At 46.1% G+C, this 21,778-nt stretch overlaps 1 protein-coding gene across 6 annotated transcripts in view, besides 2 other annotated features; it reads left to right on the forward strand.

Moving 5' to 3' along the window:
* ZDHHC14 (zDHHC palmitoyltransferase 14) overlaps positions 1–16,756 on the forward strand; it is a 296,968-nt gene extending 280,212 nt beyond the window's left edge. For 3 of the 6 annotated variants that reach the window (NM_153746.2, XM_017011309.2, XM_047419368.1), the window contains exon 9: positions 11,368–12,537. In NM_153746.2, the coding sequence (NP_714968.1) occupies positions 11,368–11,721 (354 nt within the window). In that variant the 3' untranslated portion in view covers positions 11,722–12,537. Of the gene's footprint in view, positions 1–11,322 lie in introns of all 6 variants that reach the window. The other 3 variants (XM_047419366.1, XM_017011308.2, NM_024630.3) reach the window with 2 other exon arrangements.
* Positions 7,966–8,573: an enhancer, noted in NCBI's record as "H3K4me1 hESC enhancer chr6:158090399-158091006 (GRCh37/hg19 assembly coordinates)". NCBI's record gives its function as "activates a minimal SCP1, AML or CMV promoter by ChIP-STARR-seq in naive H9 embryonic stem cells {active_cell/tissue: H9 hESC(naive)}" and the evidence as "EXISTENCE:reporter gene assay evidence [ECO:0000049][PMID:30033119]".
* Positions 8,574–9,179: an enhancer, noted in NCBI's record as "H3K4me1 hESC enhancer chr6:158091007-158091612 (GRCh37/hg19 assembly coordinates)". NCBI's record gives its function as "activates a minimal SCP1, AML or CMV promoter by ChIP-STARR-seq in naive H9 embryonic stem cells {active_cell/tissue: H9 hESC(naive)}" and the evidence as "EXISTENCE:reporter gene assay evidence [ECO:0000049][PMID:30033119]".
* Positions 16,757–21,778: the final 5,022 nt, after the last annotated feature.

The raw sequence follows: 21,778 nt of genomic DNA on the forward strand, positions 1-21,778 counted from the left end.
TTTTTTGAAATCAGCATTCATTATATTTTCCTTTCTCTGTGCCCACCTCTGCCAGCTGTGTCCCCACCAATTCAAGGGAAGTTTCTTCTTGGTCTAATTGGACACCAGTAAGAACAACAGAATAAGATAATCCTGAAAGATGATGGAAGGAAAAGCTTTGCAAATAGCTTATGCAGTGGGGAGTGGCAGAGAACAGCTGTGGGGTCAGAGCACCTGGGCTGCCTCTGACCTTTGCTGGCCCTGACACTTTGGGGCTGGGTGATCTTGGGCAAGTCACTTAATCCCAAGAGCCTTAAATTCCTCAACTGTAAAATGAAGAAAGTTATACTGAGGTTCACCTCCCTGGCCTGTAGTGAGGATTGACTGAGATTCTATTTCCTCTTGCCATTACCAGTTTATGACCTAATAAACTGGAGGAGCTTTTTTTGTTTTATTTTTTTGAGACGGAGTCTCGCTGTGTCGCCCAGGCTGGAGTGCAGTGGTGCAATCTTAGCTCACTGCCACATCTGCCTCCTGGGCTCAAGCAATTCTCCTGCCTCAGCCTCCCAGGTAGCTGGACTGCAGGCATGCACCACCATGCCTGGCTAATTTTTGATAATCTTGGAAAAGCATAAGCCAGGACCCCAAATCAGAACTTTGTGCATGGAGTAATGGAAGAGTTATTGTCCCCAGACATGGCACACCAGATTGCAAATTAATAAAGACAGAGAATTATATTTATATAGAGCTTTGCAATTTACAGAGCACTGAGACATACATTTTCTAACTTACCCCTTTATTTTATTTTATTATTTTTTTGAGACAGAGTCTCACTCTGTCGCCCAGGCTGTAGTGCGGTAGCACGATCTCTGCTCACTGCACTCTTGACCTCCCGGGTTCAAGCGATTCTCCTGCCTCAGACCCCCACATGGCTGGGATTACAGGTGCGCGCCATCATGCCTGGCTAATTTTTGTATTTTTAGTACAGACAGGGTTTCACCATGTTGGTCAGGCTGGTCTTGACCTCCTGACCTCAAGTAATCCGCTCGCCCTGGCCTCCCAAAGTGCTGGGATTACAGGCGTGAGCCCCCGCGCCCAGCCTGGAGGTGGTTTTTAAACGTTCAGTTGAATGTATGTGCAAATTCCCCTCACAGGGGCTCGCACACAGGAGGCTCATAACAAATATTAATTTGTTCCAACTTCTTTTCCTCATTCCTTCCGTCCTCCAATTTTGCCACATCTCCAAAGACCTCCACCCTGGATGTAAAACTAGGAGCTAGAGGGAAGGAGTTCTCTTTGATGTAGTGACATGTCATGGTTCCTTGAAGTTATGGCCATGGTGGGATGAAATTAATCTGTGAACCCAGAGACAGATGTCATGGACATTCAAGCCATCAGACACTGTAGGCAAGTGCCTATGCACTTTTCCAGGAACTATAAAAAATTTTAAGACCTGGAAAAAAATTACAAGCTCTAAAACATGAAAAGAAAACTGCAAAATCAAAATTGATAAATGTGTAATGTCTATGAGACACATGAATGTGTTAACTTCATTAATTGTTAAATTTAGCACTCATGAAAATTTTATGACAGTTTAGAAATGATTTGTAGGTTGGGTTTTTCTTACTTCATCAGAATCCCCAAGCACACATATGATTACATGGAAATCATTACCAATTACAAAGTAAGTTGCTCATAGATGGATAAATTTAAAAGTCTAATTAGCTTGGAGTCCCATGCCCTCCCTACACTGCCTTTGCTGTGAGAAACCCAGGTTGCTTCTGGAAGAAGTCCTTTTGGTCTCAAGGCTTCTACCCCCCTGGGAGTGCCCCAAGCGCCATGAGAACATCGGCAGGAGAGGATGAGATGTGTTCTGTGTGGCCCCACAGGTCACATCTAGGACCAGAGAGTGGGCCTGGGATTCAGACTCTACTCAATCCAAGAGGGAACAGCCCAGGACGCAGAGCTCCTAGTGGACAGGAGTCCCCACCCAGAGATGTCAGACTTGGGACAGGGAGCATCTCCTAGCAATGCTGGACAGAGGACTTCAGCATTGGTGGCAAGGGCCGAACATCGACCTTCAGGGTCCTGCCCAGTGGAGGTCCCCTCCAGCAGACTCTTCTCTGTCATCAGGGCTTTGAGCCCATTGTGTCTCATCAACAGGCCAATATCACCAGCAGATAATGTTCCACTGGACTGTACATTTACCGGCCATTCAGGCACCTGGCGAACAGGCCTTTCTGTTGCTTTGGTTCTTTATGGGCTTCTGTGGTTTAGGGACCGTGCTCACAGGACTGTGGAAAGCACGCAAGCAGAGCTGGCGCTAAACGGAACATGAGGCCCGATGCTCTTTCCCGACTCTCCTCTTTGCAGTTCATCCACCTTCACACCGACACGGGGCTCACCACTTCCCAGACTATACCACATGGACATACCACATGCTGTTCCAAGCCTTCCACGTACATAACTTCTGCTAACCCCTCACAGCACCCCTCTGAGCCTGCTACTAATATTATCTCCATTTTATAGATTAACAAAACCGGAGGAGGGAGAGCTTAAGTACAATTTTCTAACAGAAACGTCCTAATTTGACCCCAGAGCCCATGCTTTTAACCCTATGCTATGCACATCAATAAAGAAACATCTACAGGGGTGACTGTGTGTAAAGTGATTTTCAGCCACACCCTTTCAGTCCCCACAACCCATTATCCTTACCCACGCTCCCCTGTGAAAATCTGCCCAGAGGATAGGTCCCTGAGGCTCTGTGCTTTTTCCTTCAATATCTCTCTCTCAGCTCTTCAGACTGGATAATTTCTTTGGATCTCTCTTCATGTTCACTGATTCTTCTGCCATATCCAATCTACTGCTAACTTCATCCAGATAATTTTTCATTTTGCTTATTGTGCTTTTTAGTTGTAAAATTTTGATTTGGTTCTATCATATTTTCCCATTTCTTTGTATGTCTATTAATATTTTATTGACTACAGGACATTTTAGATATGTGGTATAGAGACTCTGGATTTTGTTATCTTACACCAAAGAGTGTTGCCCCTGTTACAGCAAGCAGTTCAGGTACTGGCTAGTCACCTTGAACGTGTGTGGGTTTGTATTATGTTTCGTTAGTACAGATCTGTGGAAAGTTCAAAGTGGTTTCCAGACTTTTTTAATTTGTTGGAACTCAACCTCCAAATTCTGTCTTCTCTGAAGATTGTTTGGTTTCAAGCTTTGTTAGGATGGGTCTAGGGTCTTACTTTAGGGCATGATTCTTACTCCTAAGGCACAGCCTTTCTGATGTCTTTGGGATCCCGGGGATGTGAACAATGTGTTGGAGGTGTTCATGACCTCAGTGTCCCTAATGCACTACTTTTCTCAACCTCGAGTATCTCTATTTCTCTTTCAGCCACATCTCAGCTGCTATCTTATAAGCCTTGGGGCAGGGGATTCTCACCCTGCACATGCCCAGCGCAACCCTTGCCTACAGCCCTTGGAACCTCCACTAGGACTTCTGGTCCTCCTGAACGGACCAGAACGGCATCCTCTTCTCCAGTGTCTTGCCCTGGAGATCCAGCCACTTCAGCTTTCTCGCACTCTGACCTCTGTTTTCTCTATAGCTGAATGACTATGGTCTGCTCAGACTCCAGCTCTGTGCAATGGTTGGGGAACTTTCCCCAAGAAAAGAATTGGTTGGTTGTGGGGCTTACCTTGTGAGTTTCCCTTCCCTCAGGGATTACAGTCTTGCATTGCCTGTGGTGCACTACTGGAAACCATTTGCCTCCTGTACTTTGGCCAGTTTCATATACTCCCTTATATACAGGCTGAATGCTGGTCCAGTATCAGTTCTCCATCATTCCTGGGAGTAGAAGAGAAGCTTTGTCTCTATAATTAGAGGACATGTTACAACCCATGTTGCCATATGTTCCAGACATGGGTTGTTTGCTACCCACTCTACCAACAATAAACACTGAGTTAGCCGTGGGGTGTGACTACTCTGACCTAAAGCTGTTTCCAGTGTTTACTTTGAAGGAGGAGCCTCTGGAGACAGATTTAGCATCAGACTCAGCATGTTCATTTGCAGAGGAGAGAAAGGCTGGTGGGAAAGAGGCCCCAGGTATCTTTGGTCAAACTTTTGCCTGCCATCTTATTTTAGGACCAGTATCCGGATAAGAAAGGTATTTCTTGAATGATAGAAGACGTGCTCCTAAGGAAATATGCAATACTTTAGAAATTAGAGATAAATGCTTTATAATTTTACGTCTAGATAAGCACCCTGATATTGCAGGTCAAAAAATTAGATAAATATTGATAGAAAGCTGGCATCAAAGTACCTAATGAGGTCTTATTTATTATCTCAAAAATGGGAAAATTCAGTGTTAGTGTATCCTCTCTCACAAGTGGGGGATGGGGGTGGTTATTCAGTGCCTATGAAATTTTCTCTCTACTATAAATTCTCAAGGAAGAAAATGTTAGGGAAGCAACAATGTGACATCTAAAGCAATAATGTGATGGGTGTGACCACAGGTGTCTCTTGCCATCTGAACTCCTATGAAATTTCAAGGACCCATACTGGAAGTATGTGCAGATAACCCAGAGCCAGCTGAGGACCACATTTTCATTATTGCTGCTTCCCTCATTATTGGCTTTTATTATGAGCTAACATTGAAGTTCTATCTAGAACAATGTATATGCATGACATACTCACGACATCCAGTTATGATCCACTTTTTAGTGTACACACTTCATTTGATTGTCAAATAATTTAACTTTTGTATAGCATTGGTGTCATCATTTATGCTTATATCTGGCACTTGTTGCTACAAAGGTCCTTTGGGATCGCATGCTAAATGCAAAGATAGTAACATGGTACATAATTGCTACAATTTTGTTTTTAGAAAATCATTTACTGTATTTACTTAACCTAACATTTTAAATACCCCAATCCAGTATCAAAACAAGATTAAACCAGCAGTTGCATGATTTATTAAGCTAGTATTGCAGAAGAACTCTCCATGTAATCTGAAAAATCAAATGTAGTAGGAAAAAAAATAACTTAGGCAAACGTAAATGATAATGTTAAATAAAAGAATACAAAAAAGCTCTCCTTCCAACCTGCACCTGCATTTTAGGTGGACTTTAGAAGACTGTGGTGTTTCTGTAACTGTTAATAAGCATTCATAAGACCCCAGAACAGAGCTTCACAGCCAAGCAGAAATACATGATGCGTAACTCTAATGCTTTTGACAGAATTGGAGCAAAAGAAATAAATAATTTCACTCATTCTTAATTTGTACACAGACCATCTAGAAAGCTCCTAGTTTTGCTTTTAGTAGCATCTGTACACTCGGTTTTTTCAGACAAGACGTCAGCTAGGGTAAAATAAAATGTATTCCTACATGAGCAATTTTATTTGAGAATCTGCAGAAACAGGAATGATCTCTATGGCATTTTTAAATTGTAACATTAAGTGCTAATGTGTATGACTTCCAGACATCTGAAGCCATAAACTTCTTTGCAAGTTACATGCCGACACTTCATTTGGGCAGTAAATCAGCTGTCACAGTGACTTACTGCAATGACAGCAAAAGCTCCAGCACTCCAGACAGTGGGATTTTTATGCTGCCAGCAGAAAGGTCTTTTCATAGACACTCTTACAAGAAATCAAAATTCTATTCTATTAGTATCCAGCATTCGGCCAATTTTTGACCTTAAAAATTGGTAATGTCATATGATTCAACCTAATATTTGATACATATGAACTTTTAAAAGGTTGTTTTGGAATAAAAACATGAGTATCTCAGTTTTCTGTTCAGAGTAGATGGACTATCACTGTCAGATATCTAAGTGGTCAGCTGTTTTTCCTTAGGATTATATAACTGGTTAGATCAATTCAAACATAACCAACGGCTTCTTGGTGTTAGCCGGGATGTATGCACAGCCACCAAATTGTAAGAGAGAAAAAGCGAGCGGTGATGTCTCCCTCTACTGGTGGAAGGTAAAAGGGTCCTCAAATGAAAAGCCAGGAAGGCTGGGTAGCGGAGGGAAAAGGGTTCAAAGTAAAAAAGAGAGAGGTAGAAAGGAAGAAACAAAGAAGAAAAAGAGAAGACGGAAAAAGGAGAAGTGGGAGAGAAATCAATGGGGAAGAAGGATAGAGGGGAAGAGAGTTGGTGAGTCCAGAGAGCAAGAAAGTTAAGTAGAAAAGTCAACAAGAAATGGGCAAATAAGAATTAGAAGCAAAGGTTTAAAAAAAAAAAAAGGGAAGTGTAAGAATATTTGTCATGGCCATCTCCACAGTAACCCTGAAAATACTGGCCATTTTCCCCCATGACTTTCTCAAATGAGAATCACAGCCATGAAGGTTTATGAACCCATCGCCCTTGGAATTCTGGCAGAGTGGAAAATTAGGAAAAGCTCTTTTAAAAAAATCAGGTATCCCTGAGTCATTTGATATCTAAGTTTTTTCTAAGAAGCATATGTTCAAAACAGGCGACGTTTTGAGAGCGTTTAATGAGAATTGTAAATTCCAGTCAGTAGAGTCATTGCACTACCCTTGGTTGGAATCTGACAAAACTCTGCTCTGTCCACGCCAGTGCTCTCTTCTGAGCCAACAGGAGATTTAGATGGGTGACACCCTGCAGAACAGAGCCTGGTCCCCGTGTGCCCCAACTGAGATTTGCCTTCTAAATGGAAATCAGTTTGAATGTGGCAAAGTGTTTTCAAAGCTGTGAACTACACGCAGGACTTAGATACTTAGGTGCCTGATGCCAGTGCCCCTGCCCCCTGCTGTCATCCCAGCAGGAAAGCTGGGGAGGGCACAGAGAGTAGGTTCATTATTACTACAAAAGCAGTCCCTCTATCAGGGGAAACACCCATAGCTAGACTTAGATAGACAGTCATCTTTTAAGATGTTTAAACAAATCTGTGTAGAAGAGGTGCTTATCATCAGATAAGTCAGGGTTCCAAAGAGTCATTTGGAAAACATTTCTGAGTGACTTCTATATAGATTTTTTAAATTAAATGGCTTACGGGCTAGGCACGGTGGCTCAGACCTGTAATCCCAGCACTTTGGGAGGCCGAGGAAGGCAGATCACTTGAGGTCAGGAGTTTGAGACCAGCCTGGCCAACACAGTAAAACCCCCATCTCCACTAAAAAAAAAAAAAAAAAAAATACAAAAATTAGCCAGGCATGGTGGTGCGTGCCTGTAGTCCCAGCTACTCAGGAGGCTGAGGTAGGAGAATTGTTTGAACCCAGGAGGCAGAGGCTGCAGTGAGCCAAGATCGTGCCACTGCACTCCAGCCTGGGTGACAGAGTGAGACTCCATCTCAAAAAAAACAAAACAAAACAAAAATTAAATGGCTTAGGCTAAACTTCTTCTTTCACAAATATTATTTCACACCTTCTTCAAGTCCTTAAGCTTCACCCTTGACAAACTCAAGAGCATTTCCAACAAGGTCCTGGCCAGTGAGGCCCACACAGTGTTTGCTACAGTTCTTAACAAGTCGTAGGTACAGCATGGCAAAGCACCAGTAGGTATGTGCTGGAGTGGGCCAGGTTTGGAGTGGTCTGAACCATGCCATGGGAGACCTCCTTTAAGAAAAAACAAACAATATGCAGAGAACGAGGCCTTGGAAAGAGGCTGTGTAAGTAAAGGAGCCTGAAGCATCATTAGCTTCCCAGTAAAGCCACCTCTAGGGCTGTTATCTTTAAGTTAGCAAAGGGATGTTTGCAAATGGAAGTCTCCGAAGGTGCACCCAACTCTGCATCAACCCCAACAGGGAACACAGTCTCTCAGGAGCTTAACCGACCACTGCCGACAGCCACCTTATCCGAGAAGGTTCTCGTGGGTGTGCAGGAGCTCTTTGCAGGCTTAGGTGGCAGAGAGGTGATCAGGGGAGAGGAAAAGGGCCAGCAGCTGATGGAGTAGTGCAAAGTAGAAGAATGCACAAGAGAGGGGTGGTGGGGGGGGAAGACAGAGAGTGGAGGAGAGCCCACCTCTCCCCAGAGAGGAAAGTTGAAAGAAACAGAGGGTTGAGGCGAGCCCACCTCTTCCCACAGGGAAGGTGAAAGAGACAGAGAGGGTTGGAAGGAGAGGAGCCCGCCTCTGCCCTCAGGCTCCTACTGTGTGACCTTGACTGTCTCCTCCAGCTCCACCCTCGAACATATTTTTCTGTGAGTCTGTGAGAGTCAGTCAGAAGTACTTGGGCTGAACCCTAAAACAGAATTTGCCAATTAGTCTTCAGTAGAGAAGGCTTTCTTCAGGTCAACAGAGACAAGCAAATCTAATTTGCCATTTCCTTGTTCCTTAGAGCCAGGGGGTATTGTGTGGACAGAAAGCATTAGGATGAGTGAGGGCTCCAGAGGGGAAGCTTGAAAACAAGATGCCTTGGTCCAGCAAGGGCGCTGGCTTGCCAGCTGAGCTCTCTGAAGCGGCAGCTCCGCCCTGGGCTCATTCCCAGGCCCGGCCTGCTGGAGGCTGTGCGGAGTTACAGGAAATGGGAGTGCCGCTGCGGCTCAGCTGCCTCTGTCAGTAAGAATACGAAACGGTGATGTTCATAAAACATTCTTTGCAAAGCACAGTCCGTCCAAACCCTGGTATAGTTTCCAGAAGACGAATGTTTAATCAATGAGGCTGCTCTGCCTCTGCCTCTGCCCTGTCAAGACTGAGCCCATGTCCTGAGCAGAGCTGACAGCATGGGAGAGCGCCCGCAGCCTACACAGGCCACAGCTGTCTGCAGCCTGCTCAGTAGCCCCCACCGGAAGGGACCTGCACCCTGAGCTGAAATTCCCTGCAAGAGCAGAGAAAGCTACTCTGTTGCCCACCTGACAGCTTGGAGAAGCACCGCCGTGGCACAAATGATTGTGGTGATGAGTGGAAAGGATTGTTAACGCTTCACAGTCAGCCCCTTCCAAGTACTTTTTATTTATTTATTTATTTAGAGACAAGGTCTTGCTCTGTCGCCCAGGCTGGAGTACAGTGGCGTGATCTCAGCTCACTGGAACCTCTGCCTTCTGGGCTCAAATGATTCTCCTACCTCAGCCTCCTGAGAAGCTGGGATTACATTTGTGTGCCACCATGCCCAGCTAATTTTTGTATTTTTTGTAGAGATGAGGTTTTGCCATGTTGCCCAAGCTGGTCTCGAACTCCTGAGCTCAGGTGATCCTGCCTGCCTTAGCCCCCCAAAGTGCTGGGATTATAGGCATGAGCCACTGTGCCCGGCCGCCTTCCAAGTAGTTTCTAATGGCCTTTCCTTTCCTCCAAATAACCCTACTCCCCTCCCCTCCCCCGCACTTTGGCACCTTTCTTTCCCAAGCCTTCCCCAGCTTCTCAGTGTTTTGCAATTGCACTGTCCAGGCTAAAGCCACAGAAAAGCAAGGATCTTCGTGAGACTTGCTTGCCCTCTTCATAGCTCCACTATGAACTTTACTCTTGCCTAGGACCTAATCTTTGAGCATCTAAAGCCTGCAGATTCTTGAAGACTGCAGCCCCTCAACCTTCTCTTCTAGGCTGGAGGGTGGCTCAGGGTGGCCTACTACTTGTGATTTTAGAAAGAAACCCATGAGGCTGGGAAGGAAGTGTGCACTGCATGAAATAAGTGCCTTAGGATCAGCAGCTTTGGGTGAACTTCCTCCCTCCCCTCAAGGCTGCGTTGTGCATGTTGGCTCTGCACCGCTCTGTGGCTGCAGGGGTATGAGCAATGGCAGCTCTGTGCGAGTCTCTTATCAGGAAGAGGTCGGAGCACCTAAATCACAAAGCCATTGGTGAGTGGTTCTTCAGTAACTCTAGCCTTCTGATAAAGAGGAGGAGATAATAAGCCAAATAACATTTATTAAGCATCTGCTGTGTCCAATGTGGAATAGTGGAAAGAGGTCTACCCCAGCTCCAAATCCTAGATCCATCCCTTACTTTCATCTGTAAGGTCTTGATCGAGCTGTCCAACCCATCTGTGCCCCAGGGTCTTCATTTGTGAAGAGGGGAACAGGCTCATTCTAAGAACTCCTGCAGAAGTGAAGTGGAGCAGCCACTTTATAGCTTGAGCACAGAGTCCCGATTTGCTCACCTAATATCCATGTCTGTTCCTCCTTCCCATCAAAACACTGCTCCTGAATCTCACTGAGAAGGTACCGCACAGGCTCAAGTTGAAGATTTATAAGTCCTGTTAAGTCTCTTCTAGCTGTTCTGAAACTTGCCCATAGTTCAAGGAGAGGGTTTGCGGAGCTATCAGGGGTGCCTGTCGCATAGCCTGGAAATGTGCTTACACTATCTTCTTTGCCCAGTGAGCGAAGGGAAACAGAGGACACGAGGCAGATATCATGTGACTTAAGAACGCGTGGAAGAATAGGAAACGTCTTCTCAAACGTGGGCATTCTCAGACCACAGAGGCTTCGGGAATGGCTCTTGAAGCTGTTGGAAATTTAGCAGTGGGGAATTCTAGGCTTTTACCAAACAGTCTTTTCTTTTTTTGGTGGTAAAATAGACATGGCATAATATTTGCCACTTTAACCATTTGTAAGTATAAGTTCAGTAGTATTAAGTCCGTTGATGTTGTTCTGCAACCACCACTACCACCCATCTCCAGGGCTTCTTCATCTTCCATGGCTGGAACTCTGCATGCCTTAAACACCAGCTCCCTCTTCCTCCCGCCCCAGCAGCCACCATTCTTCCTTCTCTCTAAGAACATGACCCTCCAGGGACCTTGTTTGAGTGGAATCACACAGTTATTCGTCTTTTTGTGACTGGCTTGTTTCACTTAGCATGCTTTCCTCAAGGTCCACCCATCTCGTGGATGTGTCCGAATGCACTTCCTTTTTAAGGCTGAATCAGTAACACTGTGTGTCTACACCGCACCTTGTCCCTGCTGTCATCCATCAGTGGACACTTGAGTCACTTTTGACTTTTGACTTACTATCAATAACATTGCTATGAACATGGGTGTACAACTCCTGTATTTTTAAAACAATGTGGTTTAAAAAATGGTTTTCAGCATACAAGAAACAGCCACCCACTGCTGTAGATGGCCTGTGACTCTGTCCAAGAGATTTTTTTAATTATGTCCTTTAAATTGGGAACCAAGACCACTGGCTTCATAACCAGTGGCTGCATGTTATGACTGGGCACCCGTGGTGACTTCATTTGAGCAGAGGCAATTGCAGCACCAGGCGCTGGGTGTCTCTCCCAATGCACCTGGACCACTGTAGGCGCTCCCTGCCTGGCTGACTGAGGTGTCACTAACGGTTTCTCTCTTCTCGCACCCCACCCTCCCCGCCCGTGCCCTGTCCCCATCCCTGTCCCTCCCCACCTCTGCCCCCTCCTCTCCACCTTCTCTTTGCTGGCGCCTCCCGCTCTCCAGTGCGACCAAGACCAGTGCATTCAGAGCACCAAATTCGTTTTGCAGGCTGCAGCCACGCCCCTGCTGCAGAGCGAGCCCAGCCTCACCAGCGACGAGCTGCACCTGCCCGGGAAGCCTGGCCTGGGCACGCCCTGCGCCAGCCTCACACTGGGCCCGCCCACACCGCCCGCCTCCATGCCCAACCTCGCCGAGGCCACGCTCGCGGACGTGATGCCCCGGAAAGATGAGCACATGGGCCACCAGTTCCTGACGCCCGATGAGGCGCCCTCGCCCCCCAGGCTACTGGCGGCGGGCAGCCCCCTGGCGCACAGCCGCACCATGCACGTGCTGGGCCTGGCCAGCCAGGACTCCCTGCATGAGGACTCTGTGCGCGGCCTGGTGAAGCTCAGCTCCGTGTGACCCACATGGCCCCAGGCCGGGGGACACCAGAGGCTCCTCCATGGGCAGCAGGAGTGAGCGGAGGGGTGTGTCCCACAGCGACTTTCCCAGCCAATGCCACGGTGGAGATGACAGCCCCAGGTCTGGGGTACAGAGACCACTTAGGATGGCACAGGGTGGCTGGCCCCGGATGCTGAGAGCTTGGTTTCATTTGAATTTTCTTCCCCAACCTGAGTGCTTTGACAACAATGGAAATAGAGAAGTGGCTGCTTTCTTTTGGTGACCCTCCAGGGGTGGAATCGGAGTGTGTCTGCCCGCCCTTGTGACAGACACACGGAAGGCTTCTGACGCTTGTGGCCAGACTGCAATTGCACTTATGTGTTATGCTACTAATATTTGAAACAGACCTGCCATTCCATTTGTTAATTAAAAAAAAAAAAAATCCTAAAGGGAAAAAACCGACCAGGTGTGGATCTGCATGCCACGCTGCCGTCTGTGTTACAGTGGTGTTGCTATTTCCAAGGAAGTGCTGCTTTCTTTTTCTTTTTTTAATTTTGTGAATTTTCAAGTGCTGTTTTGTTGGAAGACAGTGCAACGAACTGAGACTAATGGACAGTGTCATCACTCAGCTTACTGGGCTGAGGCGTCTGTGGAGAGGTGGCACCGGGGCTGCAGAGGGCGGCTGGGGTTCCGTCGTGTCGGGTGTCACTTCACCTTCTGTTTGGCCGCTCGATGAGGTCTCGTGTTGAGATATTGTGTGCCACAACCCCCACAGTCTTCACCTCCGTGTGTGATGAAACTTCCCGTGGACAGCCAATAAAATGACGTCCTCTGTTATTTTGGATCTGCGTACGGTTATCCTTAATAGCATAAATGAAAACAAAGTCATCCAGATGGGGAGAGTTTTTCTTGAAATGTCCCTAGCGAGGAATGGTCCCCAGACAACCAAAAGTCAAATCTTTGAACTGGGAGATATTTATAGAATAATTTCTTAGATAAGAGGCAAGTTTTCCATCATTTATTTTCTTTAATTATCTCTTTTTGACACCATCTTAGTGGAATTTGCTCTACGTTTGCAGTTTGCCGTGCAACAGTTGATCGGAAGTAGGGAGAGGGGAGGGGACGCTCAGGGAGAAGGTTCTGTCGGGCGTCTTCTGGGCTTCCTTCTGTGTTAACGTGTCACTCAATCCCAGAAGTGCAACTTGAGGTCCTAGTAAAGGTATCAGAAAATGAGGAGGAGAAATCGGCTTACAGTCTAAGCTGAGATCATGTAGGTCATCATCCTTCCTAGACACTGATCAGAATGAAATTAAGAAAATGACCACTTTGTTCACTTTCATTGGTCACCTAGAAGGGAACGAACTGGCTCTGGACTTAGGGAGTGTGTCACTATGGGGGCAGCCACAGGGGACACAGCAACTCCTCTCCTGGCTTCTTTCCAGACCATAAATCTAACAGCTAAAGCTACTCAAGTTCAAAGCCATGGCCTTGCTCCTTATAACCATATGAAAGACAAGACACATTGACCAATGATACAAGTAACCCAAGTGATTTGCATTTATGGAAAAAGGCTATTACTCCTGAGAAAGAGTTGCCATTTTATATAAAAGAAAAGAAGATAGGAAAAAGAAAAGCACACAAGTTTTATTTGGAATGAAGGCAATTCACAGGTCACAAAATAATTCATGCTGAAAGGGCCTGCAGAGTTCTTGCACTGTGATGTCTTCGAGCCATCTTTATTGTCATGCTGCATGCACGTATAGAAAATGGAATAGGTCCATTCTATGTAGCCATTTTTGATTTTCTGAACCACCTAACTACTTGTACCCACCTGCAATGTGTAATTCATGGGGCAGTGCCCTCCTTACACAACCGCACACGCTCACAGGCACCAACTCACAGGGATTCTCCTTGTCCACGCTACCTGTGAGCCCAAAGTGACAGCCCCACAAAGGAGCTTCCACAACTTCCCAAACCGTCTCTGCTCCTTGCTTTCTTCCACCTGCTCCCCAGAGGCCCCAGGAAGGAGTTGGCCCTGATGAGAACGGTGCTCCATGGGTGACCGCGAATCCGGCTTAGCCCTCACTCCGGTCCCACGTGTGGCCCAGTCCATTCTCAGCTCATTCCCCTGGAAAGCAAGATCATGGTCTTCAGAGGCCTCCCGCTTCTAACATTTCCTAACTCAGTGGTTGCCACTCTCCTGTGACCAGCCCTTCTTCCCACCTCACTGTGAAAAATTCCCAGAAGCCAGGATCACGACTCACTTGTCTTCACATAATGGATATTTACTTAATATTTATTATCAATTTCCCCACCTCCAACCCTGTCCCTGGCACACACTTGGCATCATTTATCCAATAGGGGACTGGGAATTTTGGTGAAGTGAATCAAGGCTATTCAGGGTCAAGAGAGAGATTAACTTGAATGGGCCAATTTGCTAGATAATTAATGTCTTAAAAACCAAAACCAGAGAGAAGCCCACAGCCCTGTCCTCTGTGGCTTGAAAAAGAAACCCAGCATCAGAGGAATGAGCGATGATGCCCCCTGGGGCGCCCACTTCTGTTTGTCAGGAGGGATGGTCGGAGGGGCAGCTCACCTGGCGAGGTGATGGCTCTGCATTTCCCACGAACATATATGTGACATGTACATAAATATAAATACTTATGTTTATAAATGTTGAATGGTTCCTTCTAGCTGTGGCTGAGTAGACGTTGGTGTTTCTAACTTCTTTCAGTGTGTTAGAGATTGATTACATGCTAGCTATAAAAAGTAAAATAAATATTTTACCATGCTATTAAAGCTTGGACCATTATCAAACACACACAAACACACACTCATTCTGCTGTTTAAAAATTCATCTGCGTTCGTTCTCCCAGGAGTGCTCCAGGGAACCACAGGCTTCCCGGCACTTGAAGGCTGAACTGAGCGTGAGTGCCCTGGTCCCCAGGAAGCAGGCGGATGCTGCAGGAAGGTGGCAGACAGCCTGCATCCAGGAGGGCCCCAGGAAGTGGGGATGCTGCAGGAAGGCGGCACAAAGCCTGCATCCGGGAGGGCCCCAGGAAGCAGGGGGATGCTGCAGGAAGGTGGCAGACAGACTGCATCCAGGAGGGCACAGTGACCTGTCACTCCGTTCTGCAGAAATTGGCCCAGCAGTTGCGTTATGCCCAACCAAAAGATGCTCGTTCCAGCTTTCAAATGTGATGATTTCAGCCTGTGAGGACAATGCCATGTCCCCACCCTAAGCCAGCAAAATGCGAAATCTCTGTTCTGGCCCAGAATGGCACAAGGGAGGAGTCTTTGCAGAGTTCCACGCCACCCCCCAGCTTACTGCGGCCTTCACCGGCTCTGTCTAGGATTGCCAGCTGTGGTTCCAAGTGAGGAGCAAACCCATTTTATGAGCCATGTTCCTGCGGAGACCTGATGGGCCAGGCCTTCTGTGGCTTTGAAAACCCCTAAGCTCTTCACCTCCTGGGCCTAGGCCTTCTTGTCTGACTCAACAGCAAGAAAAATGAACTTGCCAAAATTGGCAGTAGGTGTCCTTGACACAGGGGCTTCTGATGGCATCGCCCAGAAAATGCTGGAACCAGAACTGGTCAGAGACTTTGAAGGGCACAGCCTGGCGGGCTACTCCCCAAGGGTCTCAGGTCTCTGCCCACCTGACTACCCTGCAGCAAACGCTTCTCTGTAACCTGACTTCTCCCTTCAGACCTCAGCCTACAACCATCCTCTTCATGCCAGGAACCAACTGCTTCTCAGCCTCGGCTTAGGGTCTTAAGTTCACCAGAAGGGATCGGGGTTTGCGTTGATATTATAAGGAATCTTCCCAGAAGGAGCTGCCCTTCATCCATCCACAAGAATACATTGAGTTCATTTAGTTCTTGACCAGGTAAGAAAAGAATAAAGGAGAACAAATATTAAATACTCTTTTCTAATTGATGCCTTACTACTGTTTTGAAGCTGAGCCGAAATCAAATTGATGTTTACATTTTCTATCAAGTACACATGAGCTGTGGGAGTCTAGCATATTCTTGTCCAAAAGAGAGAGACTTTCAAATGAATTCCTATTCCTCTTGGTCCCCTCCACCTATTTTGGAGGTCTGCATGTGGAGTTGTATGCTATTTTCCAAGGTACCTCATTTAAAAAAAAAAAAAAAAAAAAACTGCCTCTCATTTGTTCCCTTAAAACGTCTCTCTCTCTCATAAAACTAAGTTATCATTGAAATATTAAACGATCTGAAGCGTCTTTTTTTTTTTCAAATAAATGTCAAAGATGGTAATAGTTTGTAAATCAGTAAATCCTCTGTCCATCTGCCCATTGTCCATGGTCCTGATAATAGAGCCAAGATGGATTTTCACATGTAAGGTGTTAGTCCATTAATCCAGCCATTAAAAGTAGTTGGGAGATTGAAGATTAGATGGTTTCTGGAGCAACCGAATTTGCAGCTGCCACAAAACTAGATAAATAGCCACAACTGGAGTTATTTTTTGATCTCATAAACCCCAGGAATTACACACAGAATGGATTGAAAAGCAGACAAGCATCTTGTGCTATTGCAGAGACTTTTCTACCCAGGAAGTGTTGAATTTTTAAAAGAAACTTGATATTGGTGATAAAGGTATGAATGAACAACTCTCTTACTTGCCCTCGATGTTTCAAGATGCCTGGTGAAACCGAGAGGCCACATGGCATGTCCAAGGAGACATGCTTTCTGGGTTCTATATGAATAGAGATGGTTTTAGCCTGCAATTAAAAAAAAAAAAAAAAACGGTTGAAGCCTTGCTAACTTTTTCCCAGAGCATTCTGGGTTGATATTTCACAGTCAAACGTTTTGGCATGGAAAAAAAAAAAAGCATTTTAAACTCTTAGTGAATTCAAAGCTCTAAATCCAAACAATGGTGAACACATGTACATAACATTTCATGTTTTCAGAGATACGTATGCTTATTTAAGTGCCTTTCATGTTTTAATCAATGTTTGCAGAATTTATCTTAAACCTGAGATGAATTAAAAAATTTTTCTCCTTCAATAAAAACTGCTAATGGCATAAAATGTAAATTTCAGCCTTTATAAGGTAGATATCGTCTTGGTCAACAAGATGTGTGGGGAAGGGAGGAATCGACTTGCACTCAGTGAATATGCACGTTGTGGACACCCATCTGTATAAGGATGAGGGTTTTCTGATCGTAGATACCCAGATTGCTTTCCTCAGACGTGGTTCTCAAGTTTCAATTCTACTTTAGAGCAATGCAGAAATTTAAAGTCCCTAATCCAGCATGTTCTATATGCCACCTTTTAACACATGCACACGTGCGTGGGCACACACACACCAGCCTCACCAGAGAGGAACTGTGCTTGGCTACTCATAACAAAATCCCCAAATCACAGCAGCTTAGGAAAAGAAATGTCTTTTCTGTATGCAAAACAAGTGCAGAGGTAAGGCAATCCCGGGACATTGTGGTGGCTCTGCAGTGTCATCAATGTCCTGGCTTCCTTCTCTCTGTTCTGCCATTCTTAGCACTGGCTCTCATCCTCAAGGTCACTTCATGGTCACAATACAGCTGCTACAGTGCCAGCCATCAAAGCCATATCCTTAGGTTTTCTATTAAGTACGTATGAGCTGTACATATGAGTCTAGCATATTCTTTTCCAAAAGAGAGAGACTTTCAAATGAATTTCTTTTCCTCCTGGTTCCCTCCACCTATTCTGGAGGTCTGTGTGGCATTGTAAGCTGAAAGAAGGAGAAACGGGGAGGAGCAAAATGGGTACAGACACTTATGACTGCTCCCTTTAAAGAGCATTCCCAGAAACCCCAATCTATGATTTTTCCATGATTGAAATTAAGTCACATAACCACTGCTGGCTAAAAAGGAGGGTGGGAAGCTTGGTGTTTTAGCTGGGCACATTCCTGCTCCAAATAATATTGGAGGTCTGTTGGTCAGGAAGAAGGGGAAAATGAGCATTCACTAGATAATCACAATAGAAAATTCCATCTCCTCCATTAGTGCAAGAGTGACACCCTCCAGCTAGAGCTCTGTCATCCTTCTCTTCCCCACTAAAAAGTTCTGCCTCATCCATCTACTGTTCTCTCCCTTTAGAGAGCATTCCTACCTGCTAAAGTAGGCTTGACCCCATCTCCTGCATGACCCAGGACCCAGCCCCTTCTCTCCTCCGTGACCCAGGACCCAGCCCCTTCTCTCCTCCATGACACGGGACCCAGCCCCTTCTCTCCTCCATGACACGGGACCCAGCCCCTTCTCTCCTCCATGACCCTGGGATTCAGCCTCTTCTCTACTCCATGACCCCGGGACCCAGCCCCTTCTCTCCTCCATGACCCAGGACCCAGACCCTTCTCTCCTCCATGACCCAGGACCCACCCCCTTCTCTCCTCTATGACCCAGAACTCAGCTCCTTCTCTCCTCCATGACCCAGGACCCAGTTCTTTTATGATCTCTTGCATCTTCAGTTTCTTCCCACCAGTTGTTTCCGTAGGCCACCATACCATACTGCTACTTTGAAAACAACAAAAAAAACTCATCTTCCTTGTCTCTCTATTCATCTTTAAGTGCTCATTCCTCTCATTGGCTTGTCTCTCTGTTCATCTTCAAGCACTCGTTCCTCTCATTGGCTTGTCTCTCTGTTCATCTTCAAGCACTCATTCCTCTCATTGGCTTGTCTCTCTGTTCATCTTTAAGCACTCATTCCTCTCATTGGCTTGTCTCTCTGTTCATCTTTAAGCGCTCATTCTTCTCATTGCCAAATGTCTCAAGAGTGGCTTGCCCTCCGGTCTTCCATTTCCTCACTTCCCACTCTCTGTCAGCTTCCCTTCACTGCATGCTTCTGAAATGCACTCTCCATGATCTCCAGTGGCAAATCCTGTGGCCTGGCTGCATTCTCTTTAACATCCCTGAAGCATCTGACATGGTTGAGCACCCCATGCCCCTGGATCCGTGCAGCTGGCTGTATTGCAGGAGGCAGACAAGCATGCAGTTGGGCATCTCTAATGCTTGTGGGCAATGCTCTCTCCCTTTGGCCTCAGTGACACTGCTGTCTTTATTCCAGCTGACATCTGCTTGCAATCTGCTTCCTTCTCACATCCCACAAATGAGGACACATGGCAAGGCTCGTTTCCCTGCCCTTTGGCCTTTGCTGTCTCCTCTATTCCCCTGCAGAGACTTCACCACTCCAGTGCCTTCTACTCCTGCCTCTTCTGTGGACTCAACTCTCCAGCACCCATCACCCTCCCAAGGATTAGCCCCACAGCTGAACCAGCTGCTTGCTAGACAAAAGGAGATTTAGCCAGGAATCTGACTCCAGCTTGCCTGCAGCTAGTTCTGTAACCTCAGGCAGGTCACAGAGCCCATGGGCCTTACTTTCCTTGGCCACAAATGCGACCGCTTCTGGGCTCGCTGTGGTATGCTTGGCTCCATGTTCCCACTTACATATCCCATCACTGCCCCAAACCCAAATGCTTGAGATTGGATTCAACATCTTTCTTCCCAAACAGGCCTTTATTTTAGTTGAAGCTTCCCCAGGAGAGCCCCAAGCTTACAACTCTGGAGAGGCCTTTGATTTCCTTACTCTGTAGATCCAATCGGGCCTCAAGCCCTGTCACTCTTCCTCTACAGGATCCACAAAATCTTTCCTTCTTCTTCACTTTATCGCCACCTTCACCATCTAACCCAAAATGTTAGGATTGCTGCGAAGAGCTCTCCTCCTGCCAAATGTTCCTGTTCCTGCCCATCCCGTACAACCCAGGCACGTGTCTTCCCAGCCATCGCCAGGCCCATGTCAGATCCCAGGTGTCAGATCATCCACAGCTTTTTCTTCCCCATGTGCCCCTCAGACCAGCATCTAAAGCTTCCATAATCTGGCCCCAAATGGTTTCCATTCTTCTTTTCCCTTCTCCCTGTCTCCCTCTCTGGCAATTCAGCCTCCTCCCTCCCTGGCAGAACCCACCAGGCGCTTCCCACCCTCCGCGTCTCCCTCTGCCCCTCTCTGCCTCTCTCCGCTTGTCTAAGTCCTTCCTGCCTCCCCATTACTAACACGTTTCATAGGCGTTGAGGGCCCCCTTTCCTCTGAATTCCTCAAATACTTGCTCCGTCACATATTTCTTCAAAATTGAGATATAATTCACATACCATGAGATTAGCCCTTTAAAAATGTACAATTCCGTGTTTTTAGTATAGTCGCAAGGTTGTGCAGACATCACCACTAACCCAGAACATTTCCCTCACACATTTCATCCTTTTTCTAGACCACCTACTGTAGTTTCTGTCTTCATGTGAATGTCCTGTCTCCCAGTAACGCCTGAAAGCACCGTGATGGCTCCAGGGTTTTTGCTGTGGCACAGTGCCAGGCAGGCTTCTGCACCACCGGGGATCGTCAGTGCTCGAGAAGGGGGAGGAAGAGGCGATGAGGGTAACAGAAACAGCCTCTAAGGCATTGAGGACCCAAACTCCGCCAGGGACCTCAGGGGGAGGTGGAGGTGACGAGGGTAACAGAGACAACGTCTAAGGCATTGAGGACCCAAACTCCCCCAGGGACCTCATGCTGACACCTGAGGGCCTCAGAGAAAAGCCCCCCTCCCTTATACTCCCCTCTATGTCCAACTGTGAGGGAAGGCTGCTGCTGTGACGTGAGTCCCTGTGTGGAGTTCAGCTGAGCCAGGAGCCAGTGCTACCCGGTGCTATGAGACCTCCTCACTCACCTTTGCAAGCCATCTGACACTCCCTGTCTCTTCTTGTGGATAATTTGGGATAAAATTGGGGTCTTAAGGCAATTAAGATTTCATGTAATTCTAATAGAAAAACAGAATAGTGGAACTTTCAAAAATATATTATCTGGCTGGGCGCAGTGGCTCACGCCTGTAATTCCAGCACTTTGGGAGGCCAGGGTGGGCGGATCACCTGAGGTCAGGAGTTCGAGACCAGCCTGGCCAACATGGTGAAACTCTGTCTCTACTAAAAATTCCAAAATTAGTTGGGTGTGGTGGCATGTATCTGTAGTCCCAGCTACTTGGGAGGCTGAGACAAGAGAATCGCTTGAACCTAGGAGGCGGAGGTTGTCGTGAGCCAAGATCACGCCACTGCACTCCAGCCTGGGAGACAAAAGTAAGACTCCATCTCAAAAAAAAAATAATAATAATAAATATATATATATATATAATCAATAGTAGGATAACTTGGATTATTTGCAGATTGCATGCTTTAAAAATAATTTTAAAATAAAAACCTATTAGCCAGTTCCATTAACAAACACCTGTTGGACATGTGACATAGTATTTGTTCTGAGTAATGGGCATTGCTCTTTGTACTATAAGCTGTAATACATATATGTTTTATAACACATGTGAAATGTTCATACTGCATTTTCTCTGGCAAAATAGATGACGCATACTCTCTACCAACAGATTACATTCCATAAATTGGCTTGGAACTTGGAATATATTTTTCCCATGGAAACAAAAATAGTAAATGGCTTTTAGACCCTACACCAGTTCACAAAATAGTTTACCTGAAATAATATTAATAGTCCTAGGACCTAAGCAACCCTAAGCATTCCTGAACCCCTAAACTTCTTTGAGTTCTGAGCCCTGAGCCTGGGTCTAAGACCCTCCAGCCCCAGAACCCCCTGGAGAATGGACTCCCCAGCCACTGCTATTTCTACCTCACTACCAGATAGATTAAATCCATCTTAAGAAACATGGAGCTCATCTGATTTCTTTAAAATCTCTACAAACAAACAAGAAAACAAAGAAAGCCTTAAATTTTCTAATTCCAGAGATTTCAAAATCTTTCAAATCTCCCTTATAATGTATTTAAGGATCTCTTAAGGAACGAACATTTCCTTTTTCTTGAAAGCCTATCGGAATTTCAGCTGAGATGATTTTCTGCCAGAAATTCTAGATAACTCTGCAGCTAAATCCAACTTGAGTAAACATGGATGACTCAGTGGGGACTGACACATTTTTGTTGTTAATATCCTGGATCAAAACATGCAGTATGCTTTGAAATATGCCTAGGTGACACATGTTGAAAAAAATTATTATTATTTTGTGAAGCCTTTTAGAAAGCTTTC

This window comes from Homo sapiens, chromosome 6 (genome assembly GCF_000001405.40).
Source record: "Homo sapiens chromosome 6, GRCh38.p14 Primary Assembly".
NCBI lineage: Eukaryota > Metazoa > Chordata > Mammalia > Primates > Hominidae > Homo > Homo sapiens.